The sequence below is a fragment of the Homo sapiens genome, chromosome 18, assembly GCF_000001405.40.
Source record: "Homo sapiens chromosome 18, GRCh38.p14 Primary Assembly".
Classification (NCBI taxonomy): Eukaryota; Metazoa; Chordata; class Mammalia; order Primates; family Hominidae; genus Homo; species Homo sapiens.
The window spans coordinates 50207276-50227192 of NC_000018.10; the positions used below are offsets into that span (position 1 = coordinate 50207276).

Below are 19917 nucleotides of genomic sequence, written 5' to 3' on the forward strand. Positions count from 1 at the left end.
AACTGTATATATATATGTGTGTGTGTGTGTGTGTGTGTGTGTGTGTGTGTGTGTGTGTGTGTATAGAGAGAGAGAGAGAGAGATGGAGTTTCGCTCTTGTTGCCCAGGCTGCAGTGCAATGGCGCGATCTCGGCTCACTGCAACCTCCGCATCCCGGGTTCAAGCAATTCTCCTGCCTCAGTCTCCCGAGTAGCTGGGATTGCAGGCATGCGCCACCACGCCTGGCTAATTTTTGTATTTTTAGTAGAGACAGGGTTTCTCCATGTTGGTCAGGCTAGTCTCAAACTCCCGACCTCAGGTGATCCGCCTGCCTCGGCCTCCCAATGTGCTGGGATTACAGGCGTGAGCCACCACGCCCAGCCCCAGCTGTATATTTTTAAAGGTTAACTTTTCCCAGGATCTTAAAGGAGTTAAAAAATATTGAAAAATTTTAAAGTGGGTTGTTAAAATGCACATTATGTTAAGCTTAAATATTTTATTATACTTGTGTTAAGGGATCTCCAGGACTCCAGGTTTGAGGATTTGCTAGAAGGACTCACAGAATTCAAAAAAGCTGTTATAGTCATGGTTTTGGCTTATTACAATGAAAGGATGCAGATTACAATCAGCAAAGGAAAAAAAGTGCACAGGGCAGAGTCCAGAAGAGACGAGACATAAGCTTCCATTGTCCTTAACAAGGAGAATTGTAGGGAGAGCACCCAGCAATGATGTGTGACAACATGGAGGAAGTATTGCCAAGCAGGGAAGCTCACCCAAACTTGCAAGGTTTTCACTGGGGGCCAGTCTTCATTTCTCCCACCTCCAGAGGTGAAATGAATACAGCATGGCCCAGGTTCCCAGGTGAACAACAACAGGTTTCAACAAAAATTACATCGTTAGTATAAATCCGGGATAGGCCAGGTGCAGTAGCTCATGCCTGTAATCCCAGTGCTCTGAGGGGCTGAGGCAGGAGGACTGCTTGAGGCTGGGAGTTCGAGACCAGCCTGGGCACAGAACAAGATCCTGCCTATACAAAAAATTTTTTAAATTAGCTGGGTGTAGTGGCATGTTCCCATAGTCTTAACTACTCAGGAATCTGAGGCAAGAGGATGGCTTCAGCCCAGGAATTCGAGGCTGCAGTGAACTATGATCGTGTCACTGCACTCCAGCCTGGGCAACGGAGTGAGACTCCATCTCTAAAATAAAAAATAAGAAGCTATCTAGGGTAGTCCAAGTCTCTAGGAAGACAAAGACACTCATATCAGGCAGAATTCCAAGAACTCACAGGTTATATCTCCCGGGAGCCTCAAGGGTCCATCCTTTCTTTGGAATGTGCAGGGTTGGACACCTCAAGCCTGCTGAATTAATCTTTAACTGCATAATAACAAAACCAGAAGTTAGTATAACTTCACTGGCTTTAATGAAGCAAGCTCATCAATAATATTTTCTGGATCAATCAATAATATCTACTTCTGGAAAAAGTTAACCACTGAAGAAATACATTAAGGCATGTCTATACAGACACACATTTTTCTTTTGGCCTCTGATTCCAACATGGTTGAGCATAGCACTGCCAGATCCTGTCTTTATTTAAAATTTTGATATTTCATGCTTTGTGGACTTTTTGCATTAATTTTGATTTTTAAAAATATTATTGATCCATAGACTGGGCGCAGTGGCCCTATAACCCTCAAGCCTGTGATTTCTCATCTTTCCAGCCTAATCAGAATAGTACATAATCAGGAATGCCTCTGATAACCGTATCTGTTATTGCATTCTCTCCATTTCTCTTTCATTGTATCACTTCACATTCTAGAATGATCTCATTTCTATCTCATAATTTCCCGTCTACCCCTTCCACTCAACTCAAATACAGGCTCCCTGAAGCAGAGAGCTTGTCTGTCTTGCTCACTGCTAAACTCTCAGATGATAGAAGAGTGTCCCTCACATGGTTGATGGTAAAATGTCAGTTGCACTGACTCTGCATGGAGGCTGAAACCCTGCATGGTTACAGACACAAAGGGCAGCCACACAGCTGAGGTTTCTCCTGGTGTCGTTTATTGCCAAGCGGCCTCCATGGCTGGGGGATCCAAAGGCTAAAAGGACCCACAGAGATAAGTCTAGATGGAATATTTAAGATGAAGGATACCTCCAGCTCTTTCCAATGTTACTGATTTAACAAGAGCTATTTACAGAGTGTGCCGTCAAGTTGCACTCATGTCAAAGTGCAGAAACTACTGGTTTGCATATTCAAACTTTGCATAAATCAACTTAGCTTCGGAGCTTATGAAGAGATACATTGGCCCTGGTTCTGGTCTGTCCTGGGGAAATGATTTATTCTTTTTCTATGGTGATTTGTATTTCTAGGTATCCATTATTAAAATATGAACATTACTAAAGGGAAAGTGCGTGAACAAAGTTATCCAACATTAACATTTTCATTTTCATGCCTGTGCGTCTGAGTGTTATTTCACTTTCTTGTACTTGGCTGGTCATAACTCTCCATTATTCCCAGGCTGAGTGTTGTTCCTGGGGTGTGACCCCCACCGTTGTCCTTATGGCCTCCTATCCCAGGGCTCCGAACACTTCCTAACTCCAGACATGCCATTGGCCAGGAATTCTCCTTCCTGTTTTCTAGACCTCCCCATGCACACACCCTCTAAGGGTTTCCATCTCACTTCGTAAGGACTTTGCCTTCTACTCTGAGTGAGATTCAACTCATGGATCTGGAAACAGACAGCATCTCACTCAGGGTACACAGCAAAGTCTTTTTACAATGGCTTGGCTCCAACAGCCCCCTTATCCCCTCCTCTCCAGTCCCCTTGCTGTTCCTTGAATGCCTCATGGTCTGGCCAGCTTCAGTGCCTCTGCCTTTCCTGGCTTCAAGGTTTTCACCCTCTCACCTTCTCAGGGGTCTTCTCAGTGAGGGCTTCCCTGCTTGCCTCACTTACATTGCATGGCCCCTTGGCACTCCACATCCCCTGGCCCCTTTATTTTCCTCTATGTCATTATCACCATCTAGCATATTATGTATTTATTTGGTTATTTTTTTCCCAATCCCCTTGCTAAAATATAAGCCGTTTTATTCTCTAACTTGTAGGGACTTCTTCAACTCCAGCCTGATTCTTTCCAGCATGCAGGATAGTTTGGATGATGTCTTGGTTTGCCAGAACTGCCATAGCAAAGAACCACAAACTGGGTGGCTTAAAATCACAGAAATTCATTCTCTCACAGTTCTGGAAGCTGGAAGTCCAAAATCAAGGTGTCAGCTGGGCCAGCCTCTTGAAACACGCAGGGAAGAATCTGTCTTTGCCTCTTCCAGCTTCTGGGGGTCTGCCCACTATGTTGGGCTTCCTGGGCTTCTGGGGTGTGACCCCCACCCTTGTCCTTACGGCATCCTGTCTAGATGCAGCACTTCAGTCTCTTCCTCTGTCACAGATGGCGTTCACCTCGTGCATCTGTGTCTCTCTGTCTGTACCCCGCTTTGTATAAGGACACCACTCATATTGGAGTAAGGGCTCACTCTAATCCAGAATGATTTCTTTTTTTTTTTTTTTCCTTTGGAGACAGAGTCTTGCTCTTGTTGCCCAGGCTAAAGTGCAATGGCATGACATCAGCTCACCGCAACCTCTGCCTCCCAGGTTCAAGCGATTCTCCTGCCCCAGCCTCCCGACTAGCTAGGATTACAGGCATGCGCCACCATGCTGTATTTTTTTTGTATTTTTAGTAGAGATGGGGTTTCTTCATGTTGGTCAGGCTCGTCTCAAACTCCTGACCTCAGGTGATCTGCACGCCTCATCCTCCCAAAGTGCTGGGAGCCACCTCGCCCGGCCCCAGAATGATTTCATCTTAGCATTTATATCTGTAATGACCCTATTTTCAAATAAGGTCACATTCCAAAGTACTAGCAGTTAGGACTTCAACATATCTTTATGGAGAGATACAATTCAGCCCATAACAGGTGACGTCTGAGGGTGGTTTTGTCCAATGGCAGTTCCGTTCCACCAAGACAAAGATACGGGGCTGGAGATGTTGTTTCTGTTTGTTTGTTTGTTTGTTTTTTTAAATAGAGATAGGGTTTCCTATGTTGCTTAAGCTGGTCCTGAACTCCTGGCCTCAAATGATCCTCCCACCTCAGCCTCCCAAAGTTCTGGGATTATAGGTGTGAGTCACGATGCCTGGCCAGCTGCCATAGTTATATAAGACACAAAGTCTTCCTTCCTTTCTTCACCCATTTATTCAACAAACACTCCTAGAGCCAGGCATTTGTTAAGCACTGCAGAACAAAAAAAAAAAAAAAAAAATGATAGGCAGGACCTCTACCCCAGGGTGCTCCCAGGCTAGTGAAGAAAAGCAAATAACATCACTACGTGATTAGTCCCAAGAGAGCCCACACAGACGGAGGTGGTGCCCCCGCTCCAGAGCCATCTATAAGCACCCACCTGCTGGTGCCTCCAGTAATCTTTGCATGCCCACCCTTGCCAGCCTGGGAGTGTGGGGAGGCATATCATTTAGGATTACATTTTTATGCTCTAGCTAAAAGTTTATGGTCTCCTTCTATTTTAACATGTGTTACTCCATAAATTAGGCTGAAAAATCCTCACACATCTAAGTTGTCATCGGACTCAAGCATTTTGCCACTCCTGCTCAAGCTGATCTTAAAGCTTATTCCGCAAGTGGTTGCAGAAGTAACTGTCCAGCTCCTGGCTCGCCACTCCTCAAACCCCAGGAACCGCTCACAGCAAGCCAGGCCCCAGGAGCTGCACAGTTTTAAAGGCAAAGTCAGTAAGTGGTCCCACCCAGTCTTGATGCTCCTCTCCCCTTGAACTTTACTCTACTTCCAGTAGTTGGGATCCTGTGCTATTCCTTACAACAAGCCTCTGTCAGTCTGGTCATATAACTCAATCCTTCTCTTGTCTCTAGTGCCCTCATCTTTATCCAATTCCCTGTTATGTCCAGGTTTCCTGGAGACCAGATTCACCGTACTCATCACAGTCTTCCCTCCATCTCTGATCTTATCTGCACACCCAGGTTTCATGACTTGGTCCCAATGTTTGCAGCAGATTCTCCTTGATGCCTGGACCTGCTCATATCTTGCTTCCAGATTCCTGCTGCTGTGATTTGCTCACCTGTCAGGATTCCCGTTAAGCATTGTTGGGACCTTCCCAGACTTCTTGCTTTCCCCAGGGGGCATCTGCCTGGATTTAGCATCAGGGGTTCTTAATCAATGTCCCAAGGCACACTAGAGGCAGCACTGTGAACTGTCCCTGTTGCGCCACCAAATGTGATTATGTAAATCACATGCCTCAAATGGAACACTTATTTTTGTTACCACTGAAGATACAGTTTTATGAACATGATGCCACTTGCTTCATCCGGGAGGTAAGAAATGGGATAAAATGTTTGCTAGAACATTCCAGGCTGGGAGTGTGGACAGTGCACTCAAGCACTCTACGCACATCCTGGTGATCAAGTGAGCCTCATGCTAGCCTGGATGCTTTTATAGACACTTGGAAGCATTGTGAGGCCACATAGTAATGGCCGAATTGTAATCCCCGCTGACTTGTCTAGCGATGTTTTGTGCCTTTTAATCCCTGCATATGTGTCAACAAATATTCTGATATTTAAAGTGTGACTTGAGACTGGATATGGTGGTTTACTCCTGTAATCCCGGCACTTTGTGAGGTCAAGGCAGGAGGATCACTTGAGCCTAGGAGTTCAAGATCAGACTGGGCAAATGTAGTGAGATCCCATATCTATAGAAAATGAAAAAATTAGCTGGGCATGGTGGCACACACCTATAGTCCCAGCTACTCAGAAGGCTGAGGTAGGAGAATCGACTGAGCCCAGGAAGTCAAGGCTGCAGTGAGCTGTGATCGTGCCACTGCACTCCAGCCTGGGTGACAGAGTCAGACCCTGTCTCAAAAAAATTACATTAAATTAAAGTGTGACTTGAAACCTAGACCAAAGAGTTCAAGAAACATAACAGGGTCAGGTTTGTCCTCCCGTAACTGAGCCCTGGAGCCATCAATCAGCCCCTTCTCTCTGAAGTTAATCAGTAGCATGGACTGGGATAGTGCTGGGTACATGGAAACCACTATCAGATATTGAAATGCATGTTCCCTTGACCAGAAATTCCACTTTAGGAATTCACTTTCCTGATATACTCATAAATGTATATATATGGACTTTCATGTATATGTATTCACTTTCCTGATATACACACAAATGAGTCAACTGTGTGGATTTATTCCCAGCAACATAACTGGAAATAACAAAAGCCTGGAAACCACCCACATGTCCATCTCCAGGAGTGCCCTGGTGGCACAAAAACCTAAGGAGGTTTGTCTATGGAGGTACTGGCCCACATCTGGGTCATGGCCGCATCAGAGATTAGTTTGCCAGAACATTTCTGGTGAGGGTAGGGCATTTGCACACAGGACAGAGACAGGCTAGCTTGAGGACAGAAAAGAAAGGAGAACTAGCTGGAGTTGGAGGGAGGTGGTAACTAAGAGTCTCTGTGGGAGAAAAAGGGCATGAAAGGCATGCGTCCAGGAGTGGGACCCTGCCCACTGGGCAGCCAGGAGCAGCTTTACATACTGGGCTGGGAAGAGAGACAAATGGCATAAGAGGGGAGGGTGTCTGAAGGCGGACACAGGAACTGACAGAGAGAAAACTTGATTTTTATTTCCCCATTGTAACTTGGGTGGCTGGGAGACTCCTCTTGCAGGAAAGAGAATTTCACTGCTAAGTGATAGAAGAGGCCACCTCTTCCTGACAGCGGAGATACCTGTATTTACCCTTGATTTTGGCCAAAAGGCCAAGAAGCAATTGGAAATGTCTGTATTTAGCACACATTGTTGGGAAAGCGCATTCAATCTGAGTGATTTCGTCCCTTGCATTTTTGCTGCACGTGAATTTCTCTAGTTCTTGGCCCCAGACTTGGAATTTGACTAGTAGCATTTACCATGAAATGATTTGTTATTTTTTTTAATTGCCCTAAATCCTTGCCTGGATCCATTTTTCCCTCCAGGGTTTTCCACAAATCACTCTTGAGCTGCCTCCAGCACCTCTCATCTGACTCTGCAGTTGGTCCTTTAAGAAAACAGCTGGGGTGGCCACAGCTGGCTCCTGAGAGAGAGGCCTTGAAAGCCAGGTCCTGCAGGGGCAGAGCAAAGTAGCTCAGTTTCCAATGCAGGGAGAGGCATATGCCCACATGCATATTAGGGCATGATTAGTGGCATGCTAAGTTCACACACATACACACAGACACACACACCCCAGGCTAGTCCACTGCAGACTGACCACTCTGCGAGAAAAAAATGGTACCTCTCTCCCAGTCTTGCTTACACTGTAGCTGTAAATGTAGAGTTGAGAATTGAATTCATTCACCACTCCCAGACTTTTTCTTCTCCACCTCCTCTTCTTCCATATGGCTCAGGACCATTAAGCATTTATTCAAAGCCAACCATGTGCTCGGTGTTCATTTTAAATACATGGCCACATTTTCACATGAAGATTCCCACCAAAATGGGATTTTTAGTTTTTGCTTTTGCTTATTGACTGAACTACTTATTCCCTGCCAGTGATTTAAGAGACTATAAATCATGTAGTTCAAAATTCTGCAAGCCCCCAAAAAAGTTTCTAGAAGCACCGCTTCAGCGTGGCACCTTAGAAAGGGCATGGAATTTGGAGCCAAATATGCTGAGTTCAAATCTTGACCTTCCTACCTGTGCCATCTGGAGCCAGGGACTTAGTCACTCTGGTCCTGGGTTTCTTCCTTTGTAAATTTGTTTAATAATCTTTTCCTACAAAAGAATGGATACACTGTGGCATACTGAAACACAATGAAACATTACCCAGTACTCACAAAGAATGAGCTGCTAAAATATGCAGCAACATGATGAATCGCATAGACATTATGTTGAGTGAAAGAAACCAGGCACAGAGGACTGCATTCTGTATGATTCTGTTTACATGAAGTCCAAGAGCCAGTAAGATGAATGGATGGTGTTAGAAGTCAGAAGAGTGGTTATTTCTGAGGGTACAATGACTGGAAAGGGGCGTGAGAGAACCTTGTGAGATGCTGGAAATGCTCTGTATCTTCAGCTGGTGGGGCTATACAGGAGCAAACATAGGTAAAACTTCACCAAGCTGTACACTTGACACGTTTTACTGCATGCATGTTATACCTCAATTTAAAAAAGGAAAAGCATCCCTGTCTAGTGCCTATGGGCTATGGTGAGGACCAAGTAAAACTAGACAGGCTTGCAAAACACCAAACAAATGTGCATTGCTATTGTTAAGGAATAATGATGGCATCAAAAAGATGTTAGATCCTTGAGGGAAAAAAAAATTGTTCTTCCAGACCAGAATGAACTTAACTAGGAATAGAAACTGAGCACTTCTGGGAAATTACACAATTTCACTGGAAGAATATGATACGTATTATGGGCTGCAATGCTTCAGTTGTTGAGATGCAGCACTTAGCATTTGTAGAGTGCCAGCCCTCTGCTGTATCATCTCATTTAATTTTGCAACAGTCAAGGCGGGGTTGACTCTGCTGCTCTGGATAATATGGCCTCTCGACTGGACTTCGACGCTGCTAAGGCTCTGCAGGCACCCTGCTGCCTGTTACTAATGGTGTGGCATCCTCTTCCTTAAGCTACGAGTCCAAATGATTACCTCTAATAGTGTAAACAATACAGTCAAGACCGTGCCCTTAGTGAGAAAGGAGGTGCAATAGGTTGGTTATGAATCATGCCCAACGTGGGGTCTGCAGTTACTGAAATTCTGCAGGCAATTAATTTCTCTTGAAGTCTGGTGAGATATAGGAGACTCCCTTTTTCTCATTTGTGAATGGGTCTTTCTGGTCTGTCTGAGAATGAATGCTCTGATCTCCTGCCCCCAAGATAGATTTCTCCAACTGAGTCAAGTCCATTTCTCACTGTGACCTGCCCCAACACTCAACTCCAAATGCCTTCTTCCTTCTCTAGGCCATCGACAGTCCACCCAACCTGTAAGTCCAGCTCCAGTGCACCTTTTTCCTGGAAGACTTCCAGAACTGATGGTCCCAGCCATGATAAACCTCTCCCTTTTCCAAAAAAACCCAAGCAGCAGTGGCGTGACTCTAAAGTGTGACTTGCATAGTACCACCCTCTGTCAAGTTACCAAAAGCTCCTCCTCCAAGCCACTCAAAATAAACACAAAATCTAAACAAAACAGCATACTGCTATTCAAACGCAGCCTCAAGAAACATTCCGTAACACTGTCTTCCAGCCAGATGCCCTTTTAAACGCAGGCTACATACAAATTCTGAAGCCTTCTTAGCACAAGTAAGTCTGTTGCATGCACTTACTGTATTTCACACTCATTAGATACTGACTTGCATTATTCTTAATTATTTCTTGTCCTAGGTTTTGATCTTCAGTGAGACTACAAATTCCACCAGGGCAGAAATTATGTCGTTTTTACTCTGTATGCCCCATAGGGCTTAGCAGAGGGTTCACACAGCTGAGATTGCACTAGTTACCAAAAAGTTTTGAGATGCTCTGCTAAAAATATACTATATACATTCAGCAAATGAATTTTATTCATATTATTTGTGGTAGCAATGCTGATAATGATAATGAATACTTTTTAGTGTCCTTATAATTGTATTTGTTATTGATTTCTCCAGTTGTTAAGTGCAATTTATAAAAAGCCAACTGGACTTTAAACTGCACTGATGCTATTTTCCAAGGTAGTTTTGTACTTTTTCATTACATGTTTAAAAACTGTACTCAGCACATTTTGTAGGCTGATGAAATAAACTGCTCAAAAAAATAAAAAGAAAAAAAGGAAAGAAAAACCCCACTGGCATCTGTAGCATTCACGTTAAAAAACATGTTTCATTTCCAATCACACACCTCCCCAGTTTAGAATAAAGTTATTTCCCCTTCTGTCCAAATTGCAATTGCAATTTATTTACACACTGGGTAATTAGTGTTTTTCATATTCTTCCTTGAGTGGACAGCTGTGAGGTTAGTATTAACCCTGTCTATAGCACAGGTTCACTGTTCTTTATCCAAATCCCTCGGGGCCAGATGGGTTTTTGGAATTTTGCATTTTTTTGATTCTAGAAAGGTGGTATGATGCCTAAACTATAGATTTTATAACACTTCCTGCCAGAGCTGGGGTGGTGGCCGGTAATCAAAATCATTAATAGTGCTATAGTAAAATCTAGTGAGATAATTTTAAGTAGCTTTACTCCTGTTCAGGTCAAACTTTGCTGCTAAATGAGGGTTGGCATCACACCTTCTGGTTTCAGAGCGTTTTGGGTTTTGCAGTTTTGAGTGAGGGCTGGCAGACCCTGGCTATCTTCTCCGGTGTACATGGACCAGGATTGGCTTCGGGATTTGTCAGAGATTTCAGATCCAGGGCCCCAGCAGCATCACATCTTTCATTCACCTGGGGATTACAATTCAATGTAGTCAACATTTGTTGAGGGGTTTCTGTGTGCCTGGCGCTGTTCTAGATGCTGCAAGAGATTTAAAGGAGAATGAAATAGGTCTCTGTATTAGTCAGCTTGAATTGCCATAACAAAGTTCCACAGTCTAGGTGGCTTAAACAACAGACATTTATTTTCTCATAGTTCTGGAAGCTGGAAGATCAAGGTGCCCGCAGAGCTGGTTTCTGGGGAGTCCTGTCTGCAGTCTTCTCACTGTGTGTGCAAGAGAGAGCTCTGGTGTCTCCTCCTTTTATAAGGACACCAGCCATTTGGAGCCCATTAAACCTTCATAACCTCCCTGAAGGCTCCATTTGCAAATATAGTCACATGGAGGGCAGGGCTTCAGCAGATGAATTTTGGGAGGATACAGCTTAGTCCCTAGTACCCTTTCCCTCCGACAGCTCATGGTCTAGTAGCGGATGTAGGTCGGATCCCAGCTGACCTGATAAAAAAGAGAAAGAGCTGGAGAGAGTAGGGTGGCAGGCAGCCTTTAGGATGTCTGGGTAGCCTGAGTAGATGGTGTTGAGTTGGGCTCTCAGGAGAGGAAAGGCTAGAATCCACCGGGTGGCTGCAGGAGGGAGACAGCACTCTCAGTGAAGGCTTAGATGCGGGGAAATGGTGGGGCTGTCCGTTTGGAGACCAGTGACTGTCAGTTCAGCACAGCTGGATATGGGTTGCTCAGATTATCACAAAAGTGAGCTAACAGTGGCCTCTGTGCATTGGCACCAAGGTTGTTTATTTATTTACTGTTGGCTGAGACTCATTAGATCAGCCCGCTGACACCATATGCAAATGTTGATATATTCAATTTTAAATATAGCCCAAACAAGCAAATGTTTAGCCATCTAGAGCCTGCCTGCTTTGCATACCCGGTGCAACTTCATCCCACAGCTGTCCCCTGTTGATAAGATAGGCCTGGCAGTAGTGAGGTCCCAAACAGTGTGGCCCTGGGATCTCTGAACCCAAAGACACCACACTAGGCTGCCTGGTGATACATCCTCCTGTCTCCAGGAGCTCGCCTGTCCTCCTCCCCTTCTGGATGGTGGCCCCCTCATCTCCATAAACCTCCAGGGCTTATGTGGGGTTGAAGAGCGAGACATTTTGCCCCTTCCTGTCTTCTGGTCATTAAGTTAAAGATCACACCTTTGACGGTAGGTTTCCCTCTGCCTCTCTGCCAGGCTTAGAGGGATTTGAGGCTGATCAAGGAGAAAGATAGGACCACAAGGTGGCAGCAGCAAACACAGGTGCTTAATAGAGCTTTGGACAGGGTGGCTTAGGAGGGAGTCCCTCACAGCCTCTGTACGCCTCCCCACCTGGTGTGGGGGGTCAGTGCCCCTAGAGACAACCCTTGACCAAAGCGGGCAAGAGTGGGGAGATCAATGCCCCAGCATTGTGCACTTGTGCACTTCAAACTTGAGAGGCTTTCTAGACAGTTCCTCAGCAGGTCCCCAGGTGCAATGAGACCCAGTTATCTGCAGTGACAACCTCTCTGTAGCACATTCTTGTCATGGTTCCTTCCCTGCAGCCTCCCTACCTCTGCTTCCTGGATCACTGACCACATAATCTAACTGCACCCAAGTCCTCATCTCGGGCTCTGCTTTCGGGAGAACCAAACCCAAGATGAGTTCTCATCTATAAAGGGAAGGATTTGAACTAGACACCCTCTCAGGTCCCTTTCAGCTCAGATTTTAGGGAAGAAAAATGAATCCCAGAAAGCCCAACCTGAAGTCACACATATAGGGCAAGAACCTAGCCTGAAACTGTCTCGCTATGTCCATTTTCCCAGAACTATATCTACAAAGTCATTTCAAATAGAAGTCTCACATAGCAGTGCTTGGAAGCACTAAGCTAATAACCCTCAGCCTCTACCCAAAACACATGTCTTAGCACTTTACAAAAAAAAAAATGAAATTTGGAGGAAGCTTAGGCTCTCAGAGCCCTTGTCCAGCTGACAGCTTCACAAGAGGCATAAATGGAATCATATCTTTTTACTGTTCCCTGCGCTAACTGCGATAAAATTCCAGTTATCTCAGGGGCCTTTCTAGAGAGGAAGGTATTCTTTTTATTAGATGAAATTCTCATCTATATTCTGAGAGGCTGTTTGCCTCATATATGTAAGGCAATCAAAATATCAGAAGGATGGTTTATAGAAGGAAAAATATTCATCCCTGTGTGTAATTTATGAAATGTGCATGCATTGGTGTATTTGATGGATCTGCACCAAATGCTATGTTAGCAAGCATAAAGGTTTGGACAGAGACCACAAAATGATGGCAAGGGAGTGAAAATGCCAAGAGCATTGCTAAACAGCAAGCCTTAAAGGGCATATTGATTGATTAAGAGTACTTTGATACCAAATTAGATTTTGGTAAGAAATCATGATAGTATGTGATGCAAAAAGTTATTGGGGGAACCCGCCCCCAGTATTTCAATGTAGGTTCTTTCTATTTTCCTAAGTATCAGCCAGCTAAGAAATAAAGAGAGACAATATAAAGAGAGGAATTTTACAGCTGGGCTGCCAGGGGTGGCATCACATATCAGTAGGACCATGATGCCTGCCTGAGTCTCAGACCAGCAAGTTTTTATTAAAGGTTTCAAAAAAAGAGGGGGCGTAAGAACAAAGAGTACGTACAAAGATCACATGCTTCAAAGGGCAAAAAGCAGAACCACTGATAAGGGTCCAACAAAGATCACATGCTTCTGAGGGAACAGGGCAAAGGGCAAAAGCAGAACCACTGACAAAGGTCCGACAAAGATCACAAGGCAAAGGGCAAAAGCAGAACCACTGACAAGGGTCTATGTTCAGTGGTGCATGTATTGTCTTGATAAACATCTTAAACAACAGAAAACAGGGTTTGAGAGCAGAGAACCGGTCTGACCACAAATTTACCAGGATTGAGTTTTCCCAACCCTAGTAAGCCTGAGGGTTCTGCAGAAGACCAGGGCTTATCTCAGTCCTTATCGCAACTGCATAAGACAAACATTCCTAGAGCGGCCATTTATAGACCTCCCCCCACGAATGCATTCTTTTCCCAGGGTATTAATATTAATATTCTTGCTAGGAAAATAATTTAGCTATGTTTCCCACTTGCATGTCCATTTATAGGCTCTCTGCAAGAAGAAAAATATGACTCTTTTTGCCTGACCCCGCAGGCAGTCAGACCTTATGGTTGTCTTCCCTTGTTCCATAAAAATCTCTATTATTCTGTTCTTTTTCAAGGTGCACTGATTTCATATTGTTCAAACACGCATGTTTTACAATCAATTTGTACAGTTAACACAATTATCACAGTGGTCCTGAGGTGACGTGCATCCTCAGCTTACGAAGATAACAGGATTAAGAGATTAAAGACAGGCATAAGAAATTATGAAAGTATTATTTGAGAACCGATAAATGTCCCTATTAAGATGAAATCTTCACAATTTATGTTCCTCTGCCACAGCTCCAGACGGTCCCTCCGTTTGGGGTCCCTGGCTTCCCGTAACATCTCTCCCTTTCTTTTTATATAAATGTGCCATGGCAATGAAGCCTTGTTCGTTCTCTCGGTTTTGACACAAGATTCTTTGACTGGTCCAGAATACTAAAAACAAGCCGATTAAACAGAGAAACATGATTCCAAAATTTACTACAGTGGGCCCCCAATAGACTTAATCCAAGTCGTGGGGTTTAGTCCAGAAAGACTTTGTGCCACCTGCTCTAACGCCTCAGCTCCAGGCACAATGGATAAATGAGCTTGAGAGCCTTCAAATATTTGTTTCTTTAATTTAGTTATGTCCAAGGATAAATTATCTTCCCTACCCAGCAGGTGCCCTTTGACCATTTCCCATGAATGATCAGTCGATCAGTCGATCAGTCTCATTGTAGGAATATGGTGTGATACAGAAATCAGAAGTATTCCAATCACACTGCATTTGCATGCGACGTTCGAGACTCATTAGCCGATCTCCAAGCCAAATAACAGACTGTCTTAAATCATTAATTTGATTAGCTAATTTTTGATCAATGCCCTGTGAGAATTCCACATTTGGGTGGAACTGGCTTGCCAATCATTAACAAAATGAGCCATTTGAATAGATTGGTGTAATGCCACTCTGGCAGTGGTGGCCAGTGCAGTGACTGTAATTAGGCTCATGATCACAGTGATTAAAGTGAAAACAAATCTCTTAGATCTTTTGAGAATTTGTTGTAACCCTTCATTAATTAAATGTACTGAGGGGGAAGATTCCCAAGGTCTGGGTAAAGTTACCAGTATCCAGATTCCTTCTCAAGCTCGAACCAACATTACACTTTTCCTGAAGTCAAAATAGGAGTTAACACAAGTGTATAAATGACAATTAATGCATTGGACAGTTTGATTTTTCATCAAAATTTTGATATTTCCCACTAACAGCATGTAAGGAGGCTTAACACAACTCTGTATAGGAATAGTCAGGCTGGAGGTAAACAAAGCAGAATGTCTGAATCTATGTTGATACAGAGGGAGACGAGCAGCAGTGGCAACACTGGATGTTCTCCACCATAAAGAAGCAATCCAAGGTGCCCAGGATGCTGAAGAGGTAGAGGGGCATACCTGGGTCGAGAATTATTATCATAATGCCAATCGGAGTCCCATAAAGGAGGATGGGCATCAAAAAGAGGAAGAGGGTTCAAAGGGGATTTATCATGGGGTTCAGAATCACGGATGCGAGGGGCAGTAGTGGGGACAACAGACAGGAAAGTTTCCCCTTCTCATAATCATAGTCCAGACATGGCAATAGCCAATTTCCAAAGTTCTGGGTGTTCTGGGCTCAGAATGGGGAATATCATACGAGGCCTTGGCAGGGGTAGGGTAATGCCCTTCTCTTCCCATTTTAAGGGAAAGAACAAGCTGAACCTCCTATGCAAAGTAGGATGGTGATCCTCGTCCTCCCAATAAGAAATAAAATAAGTAGCCTCCAGGCATTCCCTTCTGCCAGAGGAGCAATTGCTTTTTAAATAGTCCTTTGGTGCCCAGTCTATTATTAAACCATATGAGTCATTTTTTAATCCTACTGCATGTGAGTTAACACAATCTTCCCAAATTAAACTTTTAGATAAGGCCCTCAAAATTTTTAGGACATGGTTTTCCCACAGGTTTATATCGAAAGTATGGGGTATCTCCTATTACTCCCCCTTTCATTTGTCTTAAAGGAGAAAGGGAGAGGCCAGAGACCAAATGTCTCCATTCCCCTGTGGCTGATCTCTTCAGAAGGTAAGCAGCCCAGACTTGAGTTTCTAGATGGATACAACCAGGTGCATGTCCGAGGCACAGAAGAAGGTATTTATAACCCATAGTAACATTAATTGCAGTGCCTTCTTCTCCTGGTTGAGCAGGGCAATGGTCATCTGTAGCTCCAGGCATCCACACACTATCATTAGTATAGATCTCTGCAGGAGCATCCATCTAGGTGAGAGGTCGAATAAGTGGAGGAAAAGGCACATAAGCCCAATAAGAATAATAATTTACCAGGGCTGAGTTTCCCCAACCCTAGTAAGCCTGAGGGTTCTGCAGAAGACCAGGGCTTATCTCAGTCCTTATCACAACTGCACAAGACAGATATTCCCAGAGTGGCCATTTATAGGCCTTCCCCCAGGAATGCATTCTTTTCCCAGAGTATTAATATTAATATTCCTTGCTAGGAAAAGAATTTAGCAATATGTTTCCTACTTGCATGTCCATTTTATAGGCTCTCTGCAAGAAGAAAAATATAGCTCTTTTTGCCTGACCCTGCAGGCAGTCAGACCTTATGGTTGTCTTCCCTTGTTCCATAAAAATCACTATTATTCTGTTCTTTTTCAAGGTGCACTGATTTCATATTGTTCAAACACACGTTTTACAATCAATTTGTACAGTTAACACAATTATCACAGTGGTCCTGAGGTGATGTACATTCTCAGCTTACGAAGATAACAGGATTAAAAGATTAAAGTAAAGACAGGCATAAGAAATTATAAAAGTATTATTTGAGAACTGATAAATGTCCATATTAAGATGAAATCTTCACAATTTATGTTCCTCTGCTGCTGCTCCAGCCAGTACCTCTGTTCGGGGTCCCTGACTTCCCGTAACAAAAAGTACCAGACCAAGACACAGGAGATTTCTTTGGGCTTCTGTTTCTTGCAAAGTCAAAGACAAAGACCAAAAAAAATTTTTTTCAGAGGCAGGGTCTTGCTCTGTCACCCAAACCGGAGTGCAATGGCACCATCAGATCTCACTACAGCCTTATCCTCCTGGGCTCAAGTGATCCTCCCATCTTAGCCTCCCAAGTAGCTGAGACTTGTTTCCAGACTATATAAACAACTCCTCCAACTCAGTAATAAGAAGACAACCCAATTAGAAAATAGGGGAAAAGATCTGAATAAATACTTCACAAAATAAGACATATGATGGGCTAAGGAGCTCATGAAAAAAATGCTCAACATCATTAGTCATTAGGAAAATGCAAATTAAAACCACAATGAGATACTTTCCACAGTCACTAGAATTGCCATTACAAGTGCTGACAAGGATGTGGAGAAACTGGAACCTTCATATATTGCAGTGGGAATGTAATATGATGCAGTCACTTGAAACAGCCTGGCAACTTAAGTGAAAAACACCATAAGACCTAGCAATTCCATGTCTACGTATCTAACCAAGAGAAATGAAAGTGTATGTTCACACAAAGATTTGCATGTGAATGTTCATAGCAGCCAAAACTTAGAAATAATGCAAATGTCCCTGAACTAGTGAATGGATGTGTAAACTGTGGTATATCCATACAATAGAATACTACAGAAATCAAAAGGAATAAACTACAGATGCATCCAGTATCATGATGAACCTCGAAAACATGTTAAGTGAAAGGCAAACATGAAAGAGTACATATTGAATGATTCCGTTAATATGAAATTTGAAGAAAAGACAACTATGGAGACACAAGTTGGTCAGTGTTTGTTTGGCACTGGGTAAAGAAGTCGGGTTTTGTGCAAACATGCACAAGAAAAGTTTTCGGGGTGATGGAAGCATTCTAAAACTAGATTGTGCTGATGATTGCAAAGCTCTAAATTTACCAAGAATCACTTTATAAATCACTCACAATGGGCAGACTTCATGGTATGGAAATTATACCTCAATATAGCTTTTAAAATACTGTCTAAAAGAATAAATTTCTCTAGAATTTTTACATAAAACATTGGCCGAGCTACTAGAAATAAAGCACTGTTTTATTTAGAAAGTAATATCCTGCAGAAAGCTTCTCTGAATATCCCATGGAGATGATGTAATGAATCATGTGAATATGCAGAAGAAAGATGAGCGTTTACCAAAAGGAGTTAATAGGTTTGATTTTTTAAAAAAGAGTTTCAAGATCAAGTAAGTATGAGTAACAGAGGAATAAACAAAGGTAACTAGGTTTCATTACTTTAGGGTTTCCTAGAGTTTTAAAATATTTCATTGTGTCTAATGACTCCAGGAAAATATGTAAATTTCAGACCTTTCCTGATTTGTTTTTCACAAAAAGTGGTATAACACAAGACATATTTTGATATATGAAAAACACAGTGCAGTGCAGAGGTAGAATGCCAAATAGAATACTGACGAGAATTACCCAGTAACTTGTTAATTTCTTTGACTTCATTTGGCTAACATCTCCAGGTTCACAGCTTGAGAGAGATGTCAAGTGTTTCCCACCACAGAGGCAGTTTACTGGTTTGTTGCTCAAACCAAAAGTTTGGAGTTCTATTTTATGACTTTCTTTCAAACCCTACACTCAACATGTACATCCATCAGCACATCTAGTTGGCTCTACCTTTAAAATAGAATCTGACCTCTCTCACAGTGCCCAAGATACAACCCTGTATTAGTTTTCTATTGCTGCCTAATGGTATACCCCAAAACTTAGTTGCTTAAACCACAATAAACGTCTGTTGTCAGTTTCTGTGGGTTGGAAATCAGGAACACCTTGGCTGAGCAGTCTGGCTCAGAATCTCTAATGAAATTGCAGTCAAGTTGTCAGCCAGGGCTGTAGTCATCTGAATGCCTAACTGGTGCTGGAGTATCTTCCGAGGTTGCTCGTGCACATGGCTGGCATGCTGTGCTGCCTTTTGGTGGGAGGCTTCAATGTCTCCCCATATGGGCCTCTTTGAAGGCCTTCTTGAGCATCCTATCCTTACCAGCATAAGTGACTGACTGAGCTGCAGTGTCTTTTATGACCTAGTCTTGGAAGTTATACCCTGTTCTGTTGGTCCCACAGATCAGCCATGATTCAGGGAGGTTGGACATAAATACAGAAGAAAATCATGGGGAGTCATCTTGGAGGCTGGCTACCACACTACCACCACCTCTTACCTGGATTATTGCAATCACTTAACATTCTTTTTTTCTTTTTTGAGACAGAGTCTCACTCTGTCACCCATGCTGCAGTGCAGTGGCACAATCTCGGCTCACTGCAACCTCCGTCTCCTGGACTCAAGCGATTTTCTTGCCTCAGCCTCCCAAGTAGCTGGGATTATAGGCGCACACCACCACGCCTGGCTAATTTTTGTATTTTTAGTAAAGGCAGGGTTTCATCATGTTGGCCAGGCTGGTCTCGATCTCCTGACCTCAAGTGATCCACCTGCCTTGGCCTCCCAGACTGGTGGGATTACAGGTGTGAGCCACCATGCCTGGCTGTAATCACTCAACATGCTTGTTTCTGTCTCCCTGATGTCTATCCTAGACATAGCAGCCAGCAACCCTCTTATATCATATTGTGTTGCTCCTCTCTTGAAAACCCTGTAATAGCTTCCTTTAGTGAAGGAAAAGCCAGCCTTTACCGTGGTTCCAAGGCCTTACATCATCTGGCCCCAACTACCTTTCTGATTAATCTCTTTTCACTCACTCTACTCCAGCACAAATATTATGCCTCAAATGCACTCAGCAGGCTTCTGCCCAAGGGACCTTGCGCTGGCTTTTTCCTCTGCCTTAGATAATTACCCTGAAGATAATCCATGGCTAGTTCATTCAGACCTCTCTTCAAGTATCAGCTGCTCAGAGAGGCCTTTTCTGACCATCACATATAAAATGAAACAGCACACCTGCCATTTCCAGTTTATGGCACTTAACGCTTATTTCCTGTTTCCTCCACTAGTATATAAGCTCAACAAGAGCAAGGGGTATGTTTTGTTTTTGCTGAAGTCTTAGGATCTAGAATAGTGCCTGACCCATGGGAGACACTGAAAACATTTCTTTAATGACTAAATAGGTGGGTTAATGAAAGTGGCTGTTAATTCCAGTTCTGCCTACAAAAGCGCTCTCTTCACACTGAATTATGTATATGAGAGAGAAGAGAAAGGAAGGAAGAAGAAACGGGCATACGGGTAGATAGTTGTCAGCAAATGGAGCTAGTCATAAGTGAGTTAAAAAAGGAGGCAAAGGGGGCAGGAAAATAACATGAGATTAAGTAGATCA

At 43.4% G+C, this 19917-nt stretch overlaps 1 annotated feature.

Annotated features, from left to right (window-relative positions):
- Window positions 11764-11813: an enhancer, noted in NCBI's record as "active region_13313". NCBI's record gives its function as "activates an Ori minimal core promoter by ATAC-STARR-seq in GM12878 lymphoblastoid cells {active_cell/tissue: GM12878}" and the evidence as "EXISTENCE:reporter gene assay evidence [ECO:0000049][PMID:35858748]".